A 19,205-nucleotide genomic window follows, 5' to 3' on the forward strand; every position below is an offset into this window, starting at 1 on the left:
CCACAAAACAGCATTGTGAAGTAGGCAGAGCAAACATTTTGAAAATACCCATTTTACAGAGGGAATCTGAGTCCTAGGGAGGGTTCCCTTTAACTGCTATGCCATGGTGCTGACTCCGCCATGGGAGAAATATAATGTCCCTGTGGCCAGAGGGCACATAGGTAGCTGGATAAAAAGGTTGTGCGTTGTGCTCAAGTCAGGTTTCTTTTTCTTTTTTTTTTTTCTAGATGGACTCTCACTCTGTCGCCCAGGCTGGAGTGCAGCAGTGTGATCTTGGCTCACTGCAACCTCTGCCTCCCGGGTTCAAGCAATTCTCCTGCCTCAGCCTCCAGAGTAGCTGGGAATACAGGTGCACACCACCATGGCTGGCTAATTTTTGTATTTTTTTTAGTTTCACCATGTTGTATTTTTTTTTTTTTTTAGTTTTTTGATTGTTTGTTTATTTTTGTTTTGTTTTAGTTTCACCATGTTGGCCAGGCTGGTCTCAAACTCCTGACCTCAGGTGATCCCCCTGCCTCGGCCTCCCAAAGTGCTGGGATTATAGGCATGAGCCACTGCGCCTGGCCTTAAGTCAGATTTTTAACCCTTTTTAACAAAAGAGCAGTATTTTGATGATGATTATGATTTTTTTTTCTTGTGGCCAGAGTGGAAAAACAATCACTCTCCTCTTTGATTTTTAATATAGCATTGGTCATCAATTAGAAACCTCTTAAGATTTCCTGGGAAAGGAATATGACACTGCTAAGATATGGGCTAGGCAAGTCTTGTGACATAATATGTAAGCAAGATATTCTAGAAATGCCTCAACTAAACTAAAAAAAAAAATCTAGATGAGTCATGGAGACTCAGGTTTAAAATGATTTTAGAATGTATCAATTCTGGTCCCTTTCTTATATAGCGGAGGAGTTAATTGGCTTACCAAGGTCCACACCTTAAAAGTAATATATTGACATTATTTCAAAGATAGCTTGACTTCCAATCCATTGCCCTATTCATTATTTAATGCTTATGTGGTGAATGCAGACTGTCCTTCCTTCTCCCAGCTCTTGGTGTATTGTATGCCACCCCTGTGGAGTGGGAAAGGAATGGTGGTAGAAAAGGTGTTTATACTCATTTTTCCATATTTCTGTGCCCATAGATGATGCTTTGAAATGCAGGTTATCACTCTTGGCCCTGCATTTGTGAGAAAAAATATTTTGGAGTCAAACAGACCTGAGTTTCAATCCAGCTCCTTGCTTGCTTATTGCAGAAGAATGGTCGAATTATGTAATATCTCAAATCTCAGATTCCTTATTCATTAAATAGACCTGGTGGCTGTATTTACTATTCTAATTTTCATGTGAAACTATGAGATAATGCATGTGAACCTGTCAGCACAATGCCTGACATAGTAAATACTCGATAAACAATACCAATCACAATTGTCCCTCGGTATCCATGGGGGATTGGTTCCAAGATCACTGCAGATACCCAAATCTGAGGATGGTCAAGTCCCTGATATTAATCTGATATAAAATGGTGTAGTATTTGCATATAACCTACACACATCCTCCTGTATACTTTAAAGCATCTCTAGATTACCTAATACAATGTAAATGCTGTGTAAATAGTTGTTATACTGCATTTTTTAAAAAAGTATTATTTTTATTGTTGTTATTTATTATTATTATTATTGTTTTAAATATTTTTGATCTGTGGTTGGTGAAATCTGAGGATGTGGAATCCATAGATATTGAGGGCTGACTATTAATAAGGTAAAATTCCAGCATTGAGGGATGTTGAGTGGGGGCCAGTGGGGCCAAGAGCACACACTAGGTCTTCAAGGCTAGGTTCAAGGCTGCCTTCCCTGGCCACTCCAGTTAGCAGTGAGTGCTTTCTCATGGTGCCTGCCATACATGTTGTTTTATATTGTCCCTGTATCACTATGAGATGTCTTTCTTTTCTGACCCAAGGTTTTTTATGTGCAAAATGGGGCAGGGCAAGGAGGGGAATTATCTACCTCACAGAAGTTTTGAGAGATTTAATTGAGTATGAAAGTACTTGGCAAACTGAGCAGTGGGAACAAACTTTCATTTGTTCATTCATTCATTCACTTACCACATGTTTATTAAGGAAAAGCTGCTGTATATTGGCATTATGTGTGGTTGACGCTGGGAAAGCATTAGTAAAAAAATCTTGTCTGTCTTCTAGAACTTCATTGTTAAGTAAGAAAGAAATTTCAATATAACTCTAATATGAGATTTTTATTATTTTAATAATTATTGTCATCTAATTTCTTGGTATAGATGAAAGCTCTGGGATGGCAGATACCTTCATGAATATTACTGATAAAACATGTCAAGGGGTCAAACCAGGAAATGGCACAAGTGAAACTTGCAGAATATGATCATGCCATTCCCCTGCTTAAGGTTCGTCAGTAGCTCCAAGGATAAAATCCCAGCTTCTGAGCAGGGCATTTTCGAGGTCCTTCTTCATCTGACTGCTGCCTCCTTATGCCATCAGGCCCTTCCCCATGCTGTTTCCTCTGTTGAGGATGCAGTTCCTCCTTTTCTTCTCTGCTCAGCAAACCCTAGTGGTCTTGTAAGACACCACCTCCTCCCAGGGCCCTTTCACTACTCCTCTAGGGAAGATCGACACCTGTGAGCTCAGGGACCTGTGGCTGCCTCCATTAAAGTGGCAACTGCCACCTTTTATATATTTGTCTGCACCCCCTGGTAGATGGAGAGCTCTTTATGCTAGCGACTTTGTGTCCCTAACACCCGACACGGAACCTGGGACACAGAAGGCTCGGTGTGTGTTTGTGGAGTGAATGAGCACACGTGTGAACGAGTGTCAGTCATTCTTTGCTACCTTCTCAAGTCTTGGGTTGAATACATTAGTTAAAAGATCAATTAAAGTGAATTGGGAAGCAAAAATTACTTCTTTGCCACTGCCAAGATGAGAAACGTGATTTTCAACCAAGGCTCCTCAGAACTGTTTAAATCTGTGGCTATCATAAATATGGGTATGGATTCCAAGGATAACAAGAGAAGCTGAAGCCCACCAGGAGAGGGAGAACTCTATGACTCCTTTCTCTCCAAAGAGGGCTCAGAAGTTTTTCTCAGTGTTGCCAATATCAGAAGAGGAGAAGAATGCTCCATGTCACCAAGCATCTACAACCCTAGACTAAGGACTTTCATGCTGTTGTTTAAGAATTACCCTCTGAGCCGGGCCTGGTGGCTCACGCCTGTAATCTCAGCACTTTGGGAGGCTGAGGTGGGCAGATCACCTGAGGTTAGGAGTTCGAGACCAGCCTGGCCAATATGAAGAAACCCCGTTTCTACTAAAAATACAAAATTAGCTGGGTATGGTGGCGCATGCCTGTAATCCCAGCTACTCAGGAGGCTGAGGCAGGAGAATCGCTTGAACCTGGGAGGCGGAGGTCGTGGAGAGCCAAGAACACGCCATTGCACTCCAGCCTGGGCAACAAGAGTAAAACTCCATCTCAAAAAAAAAAAGAGAAAAATTACCCTCTGTAATTTAATTTTCTCCTGGCATCCCCATGGTATAATTCATCGAAATTTTGTTGTGGGGTCCAGAAGGGCTGTATTGGAATCTTGGTTCTTCTACTTGCTAGTTTTGTGACTTTGGGACCCCTCTGAGCCTTGGTTCCTCCTTTGTAACACACTCATCTTACATCATGGTGAGCCAAATCCCATAGAATGACATCTGTACCATGTAGCCCAGTGTCTCATACACATCCAATAAGTGTGGGCTCTCTTTCTTCCCCATCACAGAAACTCACTCTGAACATGCTTCCAATTGTTACCATTGATGATTTATTTATGTTTGAGTCTGGGAAGGTGTTTCTTGAAATCTGATAGCAATGACAATGACAACTGAGTTCATCATATGGAGTGATTACTGTGGACCAGGCACTATCCTAACTGCTTTACTTATATGGTTCTTTATGATAGCTCCATGGGGAAGCAATATTGTTATCCAGTATTGTCAGATGAAGAGACTGAGGCACAGAAAGGTTATAAATCCTGCCTAAGTTTATACAGCTGATAAGTGGGGAGCCAGGGACTCTGGCTCCAGAGTCCCACGGTATTAACAGAGCTTGTCTATTGCCCACACTTCAGCCAGATAGAAGGTCGGGGGAACAGCAGTTAACTAGTAGTGCCATGCCAAGCCACTACAATTTCAACCTGAAGCAAAAGAAACTTGGTCTTCAAGATAGTCTGTGGAGGTCACATTATTGACAAGTATATGATTTCCCATACCTTTTGGAATATTGAAAATACCTCTAGGTACCCTTCTCTCACTGCCTTTACTACTTTCCCAGACCCTTTTGGGTCCACAGGTCTGAGGTTGAAAATCCTAATGTAACCTAAATTTCTCCTGAAAAGGAACTCAGAGAGATCAAGTGAGTTTTTTGCTCCCTTGCCCCATACTGAGATTGTAGTATATGAGGAAAATGGCAGTTATAATAAAAATACTAATTACCACATTTAGAGCCTTGTTTAAATATAGTAAACAATATATTTTTGATCAAAAACAGCCTCTTAAAATTTATCAATAACTTTTTATATAATGGCTTATTTGATGGAAATGGTAATAATGATAATAATAACCATGAACCTACTGAATATGAAATATATTAATAAACCATCTTAAAATGTTATTTACTCTTCACAACAATGAGAAAAATGTGTATTATTTTCTCTGGTTTACAGATGAGGAAGCAGGTTCATATGTTATCTCATTTAATTTTTGTCATAACCCTTGAGGTTGGTTCTCTTACGATCCACAAAACATGAGGAAATTGAAGCTCACAGAGGATAAGACATTTGCTCAAGCTCACACAGCAAATCAGAGGCAGAGCTGGGACTCGAACCCAGATCTTTTTGACTCAAAAGCCTGGATTTTGAATTGCTGTGCTGCAGTTCTCAAAGTAACCCATAATGTAGGCAAATATCATCCCCATTTTGCAATGGGGAAACTGAGGTAGTTAGAGAACTGGCTTACCTAATATTCTCCTAGCTCTACTGTACACTCTGGAGACCAAAATGTTTAGTAGTTGCACATAAGGGCTTTGGAGCTGGCTTGCACTTTGCACAGTGATGGGACCAGGTGAGCTCTCAATAAATGATAGCTGTTGTCATTTTCAGCATGGGAGTTCGGCAGCCCACAACCTGGGCACAGACCTGATACCTGCGTCCTTGACTATCTGTTCTGTTTTTGTGCAGACTTGTGCTTGGACCGCAGGAATTTTCTATCATCTGCATGCAATGCCTACTGATGACACACTATCACAATAAAGGCCACCTGAGTCTATGCAGGGGAAAGCTTCCTTCGTGGGAGGCCTATCTGAATGGATGTGGCCTGCAGGAGGCCCTTGGAGCAGAGGCTCAGCCTCTGACTCACACTGAGCTGTCCCCCATCCGGTTAAGGCCAGCCCAGGAGCCGCCCACCTCTCCTGCACCCGCTGCCTTCTTGGCACAGACCTCTGGCTGCAGCCTTTGGGCTCCAGGCTGCAGAATTACTCACTCGCAGATTCTTCCTTTGGCATCTGCCAGGATCCAGGAAGAGGGCTTTGTAGTCTCTCTGTCTCACTTAGCTTTTTCCCTGCCTCCTTTATCAGTTGAATTGCTAAAGCCAAAGCTGAATTTCTCTCCCATTTCCTCCAAGGACCAGTATCCGGTAGGAATCATCTCTGCACTTGGGAGGCTAGGGAGAAGTCAAACACCAGGTCTGGCTCTTTGCCCCTGGAGGAAGAGTTAGTCACTTGGTTACTGCCGGCTGAAATCGACTGGAGATGTCACAGGGAGAAAATGCTTTCCTATGAGTTAGTGGAGCATGGTCTCCACAAAAATTGCCTTTTTACTGAACAGAGAAAGTGGCAAACTGATGTCCTCTTCACAGAGTTCTGACTTTAGTCCTCTAGCTGCAGCCATTAGCAATTCCTTTCCATCCAGTGCATAGAAGTCACAGGAGGCATGTCACAAAAATGGGGAGTAGGGAGGAGAAAAATTAGATGTGTACACACATGATCTCATTTTGTCACCACAGCAACCTAATTGTCATTATCCTGATTTTTTAAAAGGTAAAACTTGAGGTGGTGAATGCTTGTCCAAGATCATGGAGTTGGTGACTGGCAGAGCCGACATATGGACCCAAGTCCTTTCAATGCCAAATCCACTGTAGGGGAAATGGCCCTTCTGTCTCTTTCTCTCCCTCTGTCTCCCCTTTTCCTCTTGATTCCATGTGTCACCTTCCCCACTCCCAGTCTCGAAGGGGTCAGAGGATTATATGACACAACACAATGCCTTGCATACAGTACTTGCTCAATAAATGCACATTAAATTTGAATTGCTATGCCATGCCTTTTATGAACATTTGCATTTTCAAAAAGGACTCTTAGAAAAGATAATACTTAATACCAAGGACTAAATGGTGAATTTCCAGCACAGGAGATCTCTAGTGGGATGTTTATTTCCTCCATCCCTTCTTCCTCTCCCTCTTCCTTCCTTCCTTCCTTCTTCTCGTGTTCTCTCCTTCAGAACAAACACCAACACTATCCTAACTACTTTATAAATATTTACTTATTTAATCCTCATTACCACTGTGTGATGTAGATACCATTATTGTTAGCAATATCCCATTTTGGAAATAAGTAAATGGGCATAGAGTGGCTTAGTTATCTGCCCAGAAACACACAACTTATAATAGGCAGAGCAGGAGTTTGAAGGTGGGCACTTGGCCTCTTTAACCATTGCTGGTATCCCTGTCCAGGCACAGATAGCTTCCTGGAGCCATTTCCATCTCTCACATGAACTTGACATTGCAATTTACAAGGTTTGTTCAAATAGGGTCTCATTCTATTTGATTCTCACCACCATTTGTGAAGTCTGGACTTTGCTTCCTATTTACAATAGAGAAAGCCCAAGCTTGGAGAATTTAAGTGACTTGCATAAGGTCACACAACTGCTATGTTAGCAGAGCTTGGGAGCCAAACCATTTTATGGTCCCCTAATTTCTATGAATGAAGCTGGTGCTGAAGAATTAGAACTGGCCAGAACAACACTTTGAGCAGGAAGAAAGTGCTCATTGTGATAATTTATTTTTTCTTGAAAGTTGGATAGAGAAAAATATATGTGTGTGTGTGTGTGTGTGTGTGTGTGTGTAATAGTCATAAAAGTATTTCTCAGAACTTGAGGTTTTAATAAAATGTGAAAAACATTTTTACCAGCACCCTCTTTTCCCTCCTGGTTTTTAGGTACTGCATAATTTAAAGAAATGCAATCCATATGTTTGATTATTCATACTTCCATCATCAAAAAATATTGTTGATCCTTTGAGGAGCTTTTGATGTTCTAGAAACCATTTTTTTTTTTTTTTAGGGCAAGGGAGAAGAGAGACTTTTTTTTTTTTTTTTAAAGCATCCTTCCTTTTCCTACTATTTTGTTTCCCTTGAAAAAACATTTTTTGGCATTTGAGTGGGAGATGAACAAGTAGTCACTAGAATAGTCCATTTTTTTCCCCTTTAGGTTTTTAATATAGTGATATGTACAGAAATGCAGTTCTCAACTTTAGGGTTCTCTGATATGGTGGGGAGGGGAGTTAATATTTATGGAATTCTTACCTTGCAGTCACTTTATCTACATCTTCTTAGGTGGTGTTTCTAATACACAGGAAAGAGGTGTCATTGGCTCCATTGTATAGAAGAGGAGAGTGAGGCTCAAAGTCTGGAGAGTTGTACTGCTGGGACACAAACCCAACTTTGCCTGGCCCTGAAGCTGTGGTGTTCATACGTTTCAGCTCCTTCAAGAGAATACAAGGGTGTTTACCATCCTGTGAAGACATTACCTAATTGTATTCAATCACGACCCCTACATCCCTAGCCAGCACCTATGCCACTCCCTTGTAGGAGCTCTTGCTCACCTTTACAGGAAGTGGGAGCTAAGGGTTAGTTCATGCAGCTTAAATGCCACCTCCTCGAGGAGGCTTTCTCAGCCTTCTGCCTAAAAAAGCCCTTCACCTATGCTCCATCACTTAAATCTACTGTAAATGGCAATGTAGCACTTTTCACAAGATGATATTTTTCTCGTTTATCTATTTTTTTCTGTTTATTATCTATCTCCACTCCTTTCTTCTTCCCCCTAGAAGTAGCAGAAATCCCTGACATATAGAAGCCACTTAAGAAATATTTGTTGAAGAAAAGCCTGTCTTATCCATCACTGTATTCTTAGGCTCTGAAACAGACTAGGTATTTAACAATAATACTATCCAATATTTACTGAGCACTTACCATGTACCAAGCATTCTTTGAAGGATTTTACACGTATTTTCTCATATTAACTGCCTCTGAGGTAGTTACAGTTATTATTCCCATTTTACAAATGGGGAAACTGAGGTACAGAAAGGCCAAGATCCTACAGCAAGCAAGAAGTAGAGCTGAGTTTCAAATTCAGACACTCATGACCCCAGGGCTGGGCTCTGAATTACAATTCTAAGTGTTTGATGAATCAGTGAGGGATTGAGAGAACTATAGCTAAGTAGAATATGGAGTTTTGAAGGCATGGAAGAAGCAAGGTGCTAAGTATAGAGGAGATAATTCATCGCAGCTGAAAGAATTTAACTTTTTGGAGAAGTTGACAGTCTTAGGATGGGTAGGATATCAACATGTGCATTTCGGAATTCAGAGTTAGAACAGTGGCTAGGATAGAGAAAGGACAGGTTATGCACAGAAAAGGGAGGGAGGGAGGAAGGAGTGGGAAATGAGGCTGGAAAGGGAGGAGGAGGGCAGAAAGTGGAGGACTTTGAATGTCAGGCCAACAGATGTGGCCTTGATGGTGTGCAGGTAGTGTGCCATGAGGGGTTTCCACACAGAGAAATGCCATGATCAGAACCTCTTGCTTTAGGTGGTTTTGAGCCCTGCATTTATGCTGCATCTACTGTAGTTTGGATGGTGTCTCAATCTTCTCATTTCATCTGCACAGTAATCCCACAAGGTCCAGATTACTATTCCCGTTTTACAGATGACACTGTGGATGTTCAGAGAGTTGAATTTTCCCAAGTATCAGCTATTAACTATTAGAAGTAGGACTTTAATTCCCCTATGCCCGTGCCATTTCCACCACCAGGTAAACACTTCCACAACCCCAGGGAGAAAGGAATGATGCCACTGTACCCATCTCACCTTCCCGAGGGAAAGGAAGATAATTCCCTGGTCGCTTCTCCTTCTCAACCTAGAAGGCTGTTTCCAGGGGAGAGAGTTTCTGATGTGGTGGGAGGAGCCAGAGGATGGGGTAGTTAGGAGTGGGCTGGGGCGTTGGTGGAGAGAGAGCCTTGTAGAGGAGGGGAGGGCTGGAAGAGAGACAGCAAATTGTTTCGGGATGGAATTTTCCAGACAGGGCCTCAGTCAGAGAACAAATGTGCCTTCTGAATTTTCGCTATAATTGTTATTGACCTTTAGTGAAATGATCAAAATTACTGTGCTGTACCCCTCCACCCCTACCCCTTTTTCACAAAATTGTTTTCCCTGACTTTTCAAAAATGAAGTTTGGCAAGCCTAAGCCCTGACAGCCAGCCGACTGTGGGAAAACAATGCACCTCCTTATGGCCCCAAATGGAGCATTTGCAATTAATCCATTGATCTCAGTAGAAAACCCTATTGTATCAGGGCCCGCCAGGAGAAAGCTGTATCCTGCCCCTCTCCCGCCCTGCACAGAACGTTCATTGAAGTCAGCCCCCAAATTGATGGCAGGATGTGGCCCTAAAAGCCTCCAAATTAAAGGGGCCCAGAAAATAATGTAGGCTGGGTGGCGGAAGCTGGGATGGGGATTGGGGAGGTAGGAGAGAATGGGGGAGGGGAAAGGGTTTCCTTTTGAATCTGTGCAGGAGCAGAGGAGCAGGCATGTCTTTGTCCACGGGGTTGCAAACTATGAGGTGTTTCTGGTCATCCTTACTCTGCTTTCCTTAGTTTGTTCTGAGGTTTCAGACCCTTAGCTATCTAGTTTGCTGATTGGGCCTCTGTTGCTCCTACCACTGATAAAATGGACAATAATGATACTGGGATCTATAGAGCATTGTTTGGATACCACTCCCTCTGTATCACCTAATTTACTTCTCCAACAGCTTTGTGGTAAAAGTCATGGAGATTATGAGGGCTATCTCCTGTTGAGTGGGTCCTGCCTGCCAGGTCCTGCTTTACATATTCTTTTTCATTTAACTCTTCAAATCCTGGAAGTAAACCGAGCTGGGTTATGGTATAGTTTGGCCAGTTGAACAGGAACTCAATCTACCAGGGTTCAAATGGGATTAAGTATCACTGGAAATAGGAGACATATTTTAAGAGCTCTGAGACAGAACAATGTACGTGGCTGGAAGAAGGTTAGATAAACTGTCTGAGGGGAGGAATAAGCCTGCAAGTGGCTAAACTATCTTCCATGGAGGGTGGATTGAGATGATCACAGGACTCGTTTTTGCTGAGCCACATGGAGCGCTTAGGTGGGATGCTGCCATCCTGGGGCATCAGGCGTGCTTGTGAGGTTGTGCCCTGCATAACTCCAGCTCCTGGACCTGCCATGCATGCTCTCTTAGCTCTTCCCTCATCCAATACATTCTCTTCTAAAGAATGTTAAATAAATATTCGAAGAGTCATAAGCCCTTCAGGAAGACCTATGGTGTCAGCCCTGGTGGTGGGTATTCTCATTTTATAGGTGAGAAAACTGAGGTTCCATGAGGTAGAATGACATGCTTGAGGGTACACAACTATTAAATATTTGATTCCAGGTCAACAAAAATATAAGCTCTAGGAAAACTGGGGTCGTTTTAGTCTCACTCAGAGATATATACACCACCTCTATCTAGCTTGGCATCTGGCATGTAGTTTGTACTAAAAAAAATTTGTTACATAAACAAATAAACTGCTTTTTGCTCTTTTTTAGGCTATGTGGGGCTCTGGCTCCTTTCTGTCTGCCTGGCTGCTATACTGCTATTTGTCTGATCCTTATGTTGTTCAACAATCCTTCTACAAGGATCTTCTGATAAGATAGGCTCAACCAACCTCGTTAGCCAGACTGGTCTGCCCAGCTCCTGTCTTCACAGTGGCTCCTCACTTCCCCATTCCTCTCTGCCCCTGCCTTCTATGTGGTAATTCCCTTTTTAAAACAATAATTAAAAATGAAAAAGAGAGTGGTGAACACGCTGAATTGTTGAAGCTTTTGTAGTCTGAGCTGTGAAACCTCATCTCTGAGTGCAGCTGTGCATCCCAAGGGCTCAACTTGAGGAGGCTTCAGATCAGTAAGCAGATGCTTCAAAGTGCTCACACTGAAGCTTCCTTCTCTTTGAAAAGGCTGCAGGAGTAGGTATGGGGTGGCCACACCCATCAACCAGCACCAGACTGAGCCCCAAAGAGACCAGCTTGGGTACCAAACCACAGGACAGAGTATCTTTTGAGTCCTCATAACAGCTCTGAGGGGTAGATGTTATTGTCCCCACTGCATTGCTGAAGAAACTGAGGCTCAGATGTGTTGAGTCATTTGCTAATACATGCAGGAGCCAGGATTCAAAAGCAAGGCTTTCTGTCCAATTCCACTTTCTTCTCATTCCCTCATTTTCTGAGCGCAGCTGAGGCTCTGGGGTGAGTGAAGATCAAATCCGAGTTTCCGTCCTATTTTCCCCTCAGGATCGCTCTCACAGAGTCATTCTGAAGATGGAAGCAGAATCAGAACAGAGCTTGTGTGTTTTGTTATGTCTCACCTCTTTTTCCCAAGATTTCAAAGGCATGGGCCCATTTATCTAGACACTCAAGTTCTCAACAGGGGCGTTAGCAGCTGGGGAGTGGAATGTTGTTTGGAAAGGATGAAACAACACTGGCAGTGTTTATATTCAATTCCGGAGACCTGGTTAGAAAAATATTTTTAAAAAACGGAAGGAAGAGTAACCATGCACTTACAAAATGTGGCCTCCTTATCGTGAGGGACTTTTGCCCTTGGATTCTATTCCCAGGAGTAGACATGTCCAGCCTCAGACTGCCGTTAGGAGATGAAAGGGAATCTTTCAACATTTCCTCCTATTGTTTGTGCTTTCTCTCTGCTTTGTCACCATCATATTCATTATTGGAATTTTGTTAATGTGCCATTTCTCCCCTGGAAACAAAAGAGAAGAGCTGTCAAAGCAAAGCAGGAAAGACGTGTGGCTTACTCCTAAGTGAGTAATTATCATGTGTCTTGGAATGGTTGGCTGCTTCCAGTTGAAGATGTTTGAGCTAAAAAGGAAGACACATAAGCATCCAGTGAAGTGAAAGATGGGGGAATCCACCTGGCTGCGGGAGGTGGCTTAGAGCCCACAGTAAGGCATGGGGAGGGCTGAATATGACTTGGGAACTAGAACACCTGAGCTCAAATCCTGATTGCACTCTGTACAAGCTGTATGACCTTGAGCAAGGTACTTACCATCTCTGAACTTCACCAAGTTCATCACATAGACAGGAATTCTGTCTATGTGTTGTGTGTTCTTGTGAAAATGAAATATGAGAGAATATGAAAGTGCCCGGTACGTGGTAGCTTTCAAATATGTCTTTTTCCTTCTTTCTTTCTCCTGTTAACATCCCTTCTACCTGCACAATCTCCAACATGAACCTTTTTTTTTTTTTTTTTTTTTTTTTTGAGATAGAGTCTTGCTCTGTGGCCCAGGCTGGAGTCTGGAGTGCAGTGGTATGATCTTGGCTCACTGCAACCTCCATGATATGGTTTGGCTGTGTCCCCATTCAAATCTTAACTTGAATTGCATCTCCCAGAATTCCCACATGTTGTGGGAAGGACCCAGGGGGAGGTAACTGAATCATGGGAGCTGGTCTTTCCCATGCTATTCTCATGATAGTGAATAAGTCTCATGGATATGATGGGTTTATCAGGGATTTCTGCTTTTGCTTCTTCCTCATTTTCTCTTGCCACTGCCATATAAGAAGTGCCCTTTACCTCCCACCATGATTCTGAGGCCTCCCCAGCCATGTGGAACTGTAAGTCCAATTAAATGTCTTTTTCTTCCCAGTCTCGGGTATGTCTTTATTAGCAGGGTGAAAACAGACTAATACACTCTACCTCCCAGGTTCAAGTGATTCTTCTGCCTCAGCTTCCCGAGTAGCTGGGATTACAGGTGGCTGCCACCACACCCAGCTAATTTTTGTATTTTTAGTGGAGGCCAGGTTTCACCATGTTGACCAGGATGGTCTCAAACTCCTGATCTCAAGTGATCCACCCGCTTTGGCCTCCCAAAGTGCTGGATTATAAGCATGATCCACCGTGCCTGGCCCAACGTGAAGCTTTTGAGATGGCCAAGTGAAAGAAACAGGAACAGTATGAACAAGAAACCTCAAGCACTGGCAACTTAATTTATCTAATGAGGAATTGTATGTATGTTTGTATGTATTTGTGTTTTGGAGCAATAATTCAGAGCAGAGAAGAAAAGAATATTTCATTGAGGTTATCTGTCCATGTGGGTTTTCAACACTGCTGTGACTATTAATTAGAGTGTGTATAATTAAGCCTACCATTTACAAAGCGCCTGTTCTATCCTGGGTATTGTTGGAATATTATCTTGTTTAATCCTTACAACCACCTTATGTAGTAGGAATTGTCATGCAAATTTCCACACAAGGAATTAAGGCTGAGAGAAATGGTCAGTAGTGGAGTTACAATTTTAATTCAGCTTTTTCTGATTCCAAAGCTACTCCTACTACCACTGAATTTCAAAAGCTCTTGTGATCTCTAACACTCATGTTAGTATTTAGTATGTACAATATTGTGTCCACTCATACATTCAGTCAAGGAGCTGTCATGTGCTAGGAACTACTCTAAAATGGGGGGATTCCAACTTGTAGAAGATGGTCTTTACCAATTATCTAAAAATTTTGAACTTCAGGTATTTTTTTTAACCTGTAAGTGGGAAAACTAATATTTACCTGATACTTTGAGAGGATTACATTAATAAATGTATGAAAAGCACTTTAGAGTGTACTTAGTATATGCAAGGTGCTCGCATAAGTCTTAGAACACTCAAACCAGGCAGTTTGAGGTGAAGAGTTATTGAAAGAGTTACAGGCATAGAGAAAGCAATGAAGGATCTTGCTAGATCTGAAGGCTAGCAACAGAAGGGCACTGTTATCTTCCCCGGGCCTGAAAGGGTGAGGGGAAGGCATGGTCATGGAACCAGGAGGAGGTAGCCTCATAGAGAGGGCTGTAGCCTTTCAAGAGCTGTGGTCTTTGGTAGAGAAATGCAGCTAACCCACAGCAACCTGACAGAAAAGGAGCCAGGAGAGGAAATACCCTAACCTCACTCTCCTTTCAGTTCTGATCTCCTGCTGGTGGCACCCATTGGCCAAAACCAACTGGAGACTGGGGACAAGGGAGCCCCTTGATATCATCTACATGGTCAGCCTCCAGGGGCACAGAGCTGGATAGGGTAGTGCAGAGAGTGGATCTAGTTGGGCAGAAAAAGTATCCAGCTGCATATTCCATAAATATTGAATTCAAATCCCCAATCTGAAATTGCTTGTAGTCAAATAAGAAAGATCAGACTCTTACCTAATGTTCACAATACAGGACAGGGTGGGTGAGTCTATCACAGTAGGCTTGAGTTGGACTAGATGCTACCTCATGTTTGTCACAGCCTGCAGTGTGTCCTCAATGTCTCACAAAGCTCAGACTCTTCAAAGCAGGCCTTGAAGACCCTCTACACTGGGGCTCAGCTCACATGTCCTCCTCTCACCTGATGTAGTGGCCAAATTGGATTGCTCACGGTTCATGGTGTTTTCCTAAGCACAGTTACACCTCTGTGCTTTGACGGAAGTGCTTCCTCCAGCACAGCAGGCCCTGCTCTGCTGCCTTCCCCCAGCCCTTTTAAGCTCTCAGGGCACATACCACCTGCTCAATGAATCCTCCTCTGCTCACTCCCACTCAGATTTTTAGCATGATTTTCCTGTGCTTCTGCAGTATAGGGCTTGCTTATCTGGGTAAGGCATACTTCATTCAACAAACATTTCATTCAGCAAACATTTACTGAATGTCTATAGAGTTCCTGGCACTGTGCAAAAAGGGACTACAAAGGGAATGAAGCCTGGTTCTTTCTCTTAAGAAGCTCTTATTCTTCCTGGAATTAGCATTCTCCTTCTACTTAACCATCTCCCCACTAGACTATGGGTGTGCTGAGGACAGGGAATCAGCTTAATTATCTTTGTGCTCTCAGTGCTTAGCAACCATGTGGCACAGAAGTCTTTCAGGAAATGTGAAGCTATAGAAGAAAAAAGAGAGAAAGAGGAAGAAAGGATAGAAGAAGTTAGTTAATTTATTCCACAGCTGTTTGCGAAGTGCCTAAAATATGCCAGGTCCTAATGAGCAATGAATAGTACACAGGCTACCCACATACGGGTGTGTGTGTGTGGGGGGGTGGCGGTGCACATGAAGACTCAGAACTTAGTGGTGAGTGTCTATGAAGCTCTGAGAACAAATCAGAGGATGCCCCTCTTGACTAGCTTTCTGAACTGAAGCTTTCCGAATCCACAGGAAAGAAGAGAGGGACCTAACTGGATGCCCAACTGAGCTACTGAGTGGTGGTTAAAGGGACTCTTCAAATAATTTCAGAAAGCAGGTGATTTTTGCAATTGCAGGCTTATAGGCATATGGTATTTGGATGATATAATTTCTTTAATTGAAAGTGTTATCTTAACCAGGGAGTTTTGCAAAACCCCAAAACAAAGACATCTGTTGCTGTTTTTGTTCTTTTCCCCAGCAAACAATCTGGTGGTGAAAAATAGGAATGACTAAATGGAACACCAGGGAAAATCATGGATTTGAAAAACAAACCCCTACATCTTTAAGAGGGGGGCAACTAATCATGGCACAAAACAGGCACTTCTGAATAGAGTTTTCTGTGAAATCTTGGGTCATTATAACTCTACTTATTTTCATATCAATAATTATTAATACAGAACCAATGAGATGAGCTTATGGCAAGTTTAGTGCACTTCTCTGTTGTCCATGGACCTTAGCTATTAGCTCTGTATGCTGGTGGTTTGGCTAAATCTTTACACCAGATCCTTTAATCCATCTGCCTCCTGGACATCTTCTCTTGATGGCCCAAAGGTACCTCAAACTCAGCTGCTCAAAATTAATCTCATCAGTCTACCGGAACCTGCTTCTTCTGAATTCTCCATTTTGGGGAATGTCCTGCCAAGTCAGAAACCTCTCAGGACCTTCTCTCTCCTGCAAACCTTGCAGAAGCTGAAATCAAAATCTGTTGTCTCTCTGTTGGAAAGATTCTGCACTCTGCTGCCTCTTCTTCACCCCCACTACTTCTGTCTCCCACTCTCTGGTTACTGCAATGATTCTGCCTCTCTCTATGCCTTTATTCAACCTTGACCATGACCTATAGGGAAATGGCAGGAAGCAGAATTCACCTCACATGATTCAAATGAAGAAACATTAATGAAGGAACTGCTTAGAGGGGTGGAGAAGGGTTAATGGAATAAACAAGGGATATTGAGGCACCTAGAGACTAGCAACAGTTGGAAGCTGTTATCTCTACAACCAAAGGGACAAGGGAGAGAAACAGATATTGAAGCCCAGTGAGAACTGGAACTGTGGAGGAAGGGCTGCCCAGTGGGGCATAGCCAGAGAGGCCGTGTGGCAATAGGGAGAGAGCAGGAGAGAAATCACACAATGCACTGTCTACCCACTTTCCCCCTGTTGGTACTTCCCATTGTTTGGACCCGGAGCCTAGTTCAGGGGAGCCCAGAAGAAACAGTCTGCAAGGGCCAGCCTCCTGGGCACAGAGCAGAGCAGAAAAGTGCTGAGAATGCATCTGGGGCATGGAAAAGGAGGAAAGAGAATCACAAGCCTCTCCCCTCTTATCCATTCTACACTCTGATACCCGAGTACTCTTCAAATACCCCGACTATGTCTCTCCTCTGACTGAATCACTTTAGAAACTCCTCATTTCACTCAAGATAGAAAATCACAGCTCCTCAAGCTAGCATTGAATCTCCCCACTGCCACTGACCTCTCTAGTCCCGCCTATCACTACTCCTGGTGCTTACCTGACCCCCCGCCCCCAGTTCTACTTCCAGGCCCCTGAATATACCATGCTGTTCTAAATCTTCATGGCTTAGTGAATGTTCATTTCTTTTCCTGAAATAGCCTCTCCCTCCCCACCCAAACCTTTCCAACACCACCTGCCTGGTGAGCTGCAAGTCTTCCTTTCAAGCCTAGTTCAGATGTCACCTTCTCTGGGAAGTCTCCTCTAACCATTCCACTCCTCGACCTGAATTAATCACCCCTGCCTCTGAACAATCTTCATCATACACATTTACATTTTCACTATTGACACACTTTATGACTTTCTCTTGATCATGTCTGTACCCCCCAGCTAGACTGGTAGGTCCCTGAAGGTGAAGGCTGTGTATTATTCATCTTGGCCTACTAGCTAATTGTCATAGTTCCTGGAACATTAAATCTGTTCAGTAAACATTTAAGGAATAAAGGAAAAAAGAGAGGGAGGGAGAGAGGGAAGAAGGGAGGGAAGGAGAAAGGAAGGAAGAAGTAAGGAAAGGAGATGAGGAAGGAGGGAAGGGAGAAGGAAGGAAAGGAGGGAGAAAGCGAGGTAGGAAGGAAGGAGGGAAGGAGAAAGGAAGGAAGAAGTAAGGAAGGGAGGTGAGGAAGGAGGGAAGGGAGAAGGAAGGAAAGGAGGGAAGAAGTGAGGGAGGAAGGGAGGAGGGAAGGGGGAGGAAGAAGGGAAGGAAGGAAGAGAGAGGGAGGCAGGGAAGGAAGGAAGGAAATTATTCTAATTGTTCAAAGCATTTTCAAATACCTTTCCACCTCTGACCTTCACAAGCAGCCTAAGTGTTGTGGTGGGTATGATTACCTAGGATAGGAACACTGAGTCTCAGAAAGGGATGAATGGAAGCTGGGTCAGAGGGCAGTGGGAAGAGCTTGGGATTGAGAATCAGACTATTTGGTTTGAGCCCTGGGTCTCTAATTTTCTGGGTGTGAATTCTTTGCTGAACTAGGAACTTCTCTGAGCCTTTGCTTCATATCTGTAAAACCTCCCAGAGTTGTGGGTGAGGCAATGTGTGAAGATGATTCACATACTATACAAGGCTAGACAAATAAAAGGGATATAGGGCCACTTTTCAGCACTCACTCTGCCATTTTTAGTAGTTTTGGTTGACTTATTGACATCTGCCTAACTCTACTACCTTATATACCCAAGTCAACAAAAGGCTGAGTAGGCTCTTCCCACAGTGAGAAAGTTGCTTCTTGGATTTTCAGAGTTGTCAAGGTAGGTCCAGAAAATGCCTGGAGACAACCTAGTCCAATCTTTGATCTCCTGCTACTGTCACCCACTACAGGCTTCCCTGACAAGAGGACACAGGCTTCATGCACCAGCAGCAGCTCACTCCAATCCAGCTAGCCCATTCCATCCTTGGAACACTCTGGATGCCAGAAACTTCTTTCTTTGAACAGAAATCTTTCTCTCTATAATTTTTTCATATTGGCTTTGGGACCAGAAAAGGCCATGCTCATTCCCACGTAACAGCTCTTTTAAAATGAAGGCAGCTCTTTTGTCCATCTGAATTGCTTCTCTTCCAGGCCACGCTTCTCTTGTCCCTCAGCTGTTCTTTATTAGAGAGGCTTTGAGGACTTTTATTACTCTGAGAGCCTCATCAGAATGTTTCTCTCTGCTGCTATTTCTCATTGGAGTCTATGACAAACCACTCGACTGCCTCATGACTACATTGACACCATAGCAATCCATCATACATCTCAAACAATAATCACAGGTAACAGAGGTCCATATGTCCAGATAAGAAAATCAAGGCTTTGTGAGATGGGGGTTGCTTGCCCTAATTCATATCGATGGTAAATAGAAGCACAGCGACTAACCCACAGCTGCCTGACTTCTAGAGCCCCCGTGTTTTCTATTGCTAAAGATACCCACGCTTGCTCCATTTAAGCCATGGACAAAGAGAACTGAGGGGTGCACTGATTGCTTTCCTCGATTCAAAGCAGTCTCCTCAATGAAAATATAGGATTAGACAAGTTTCTAATCATTGATGGTGTCTTTCCCATAAGAAGCACTTGAAAAACAATAAATATTCTTAGCATCATGATTATTTAGTGCTTTATGAAACTTGTGAATTGCTTTTCCCAGTCATTCTG

General features: G+C 43.1%; 2 long non-coding RNA genes across 4 annotated transcripts in view, besides 2 other annotated features; one reads left to right on the plus strand and one right to left on the minus strand.

Moving 5' to 3' along the window:
• JUN-DT (JUN divergent transcript) overlaps window positions 1-19,205 on the plus strand; it is a 114,562-nt gene that overhangs the window by 58,446 nt on the left and 36,911 nt on the right. The window lies entirely within an intron of this gene.
• Window positions 7,363-12,131, minus strand: LOC107984961 (uncharacterized). The gene is made up of 2 exons (XR_001738081.2): window positions 11,945-12,131; window positions 7,363-7,806 (listed from the first exon to the last, which is right to left on the minus strand). It is a non-coding gene; the product is annotated as an uncharacterized LOC107984961 (long non-coding RNA).
• Window positions 11,026-11,165: an enhancer, noted in NCBI's record as "active region_1092". NCBI's record gives its function as "activates an Ori minimal core promoter by ATAC-STARR-seq in GM12878 lymphoblastoid cells {active_cell/tissue: GM12878}" and the evidence as "EXISTENCE:reporter gene assay evidence [ECO:0000049][PMID:35858748]".
• Window positions 14,444-14,573: an enhancer, noted in NCBI's record as "active region_1093". NCBI's record gives its function as "activates an Ori minimal core promoter by ATAC-STARR-seq in GM12878 lymphoblastoid cells {active_cell/tissue: GM12878}" and the evidence as "EXISTENCE:reporter gene assay evidence [ECO:0000049][PMID:35858748]".

Source organism: Homo sapiens, chromosome 1 (genome assembly GCF_000001405.40).
Source record: "Homo sapiens chromosome 1, GRCh38.p14 Primary Assembly".
NCBI classification, from domain to species: Eukaryota; Metazoa; Chordata; class Mammalia; order Primates; family Hominidae; genus Homo; species Homo sapiens.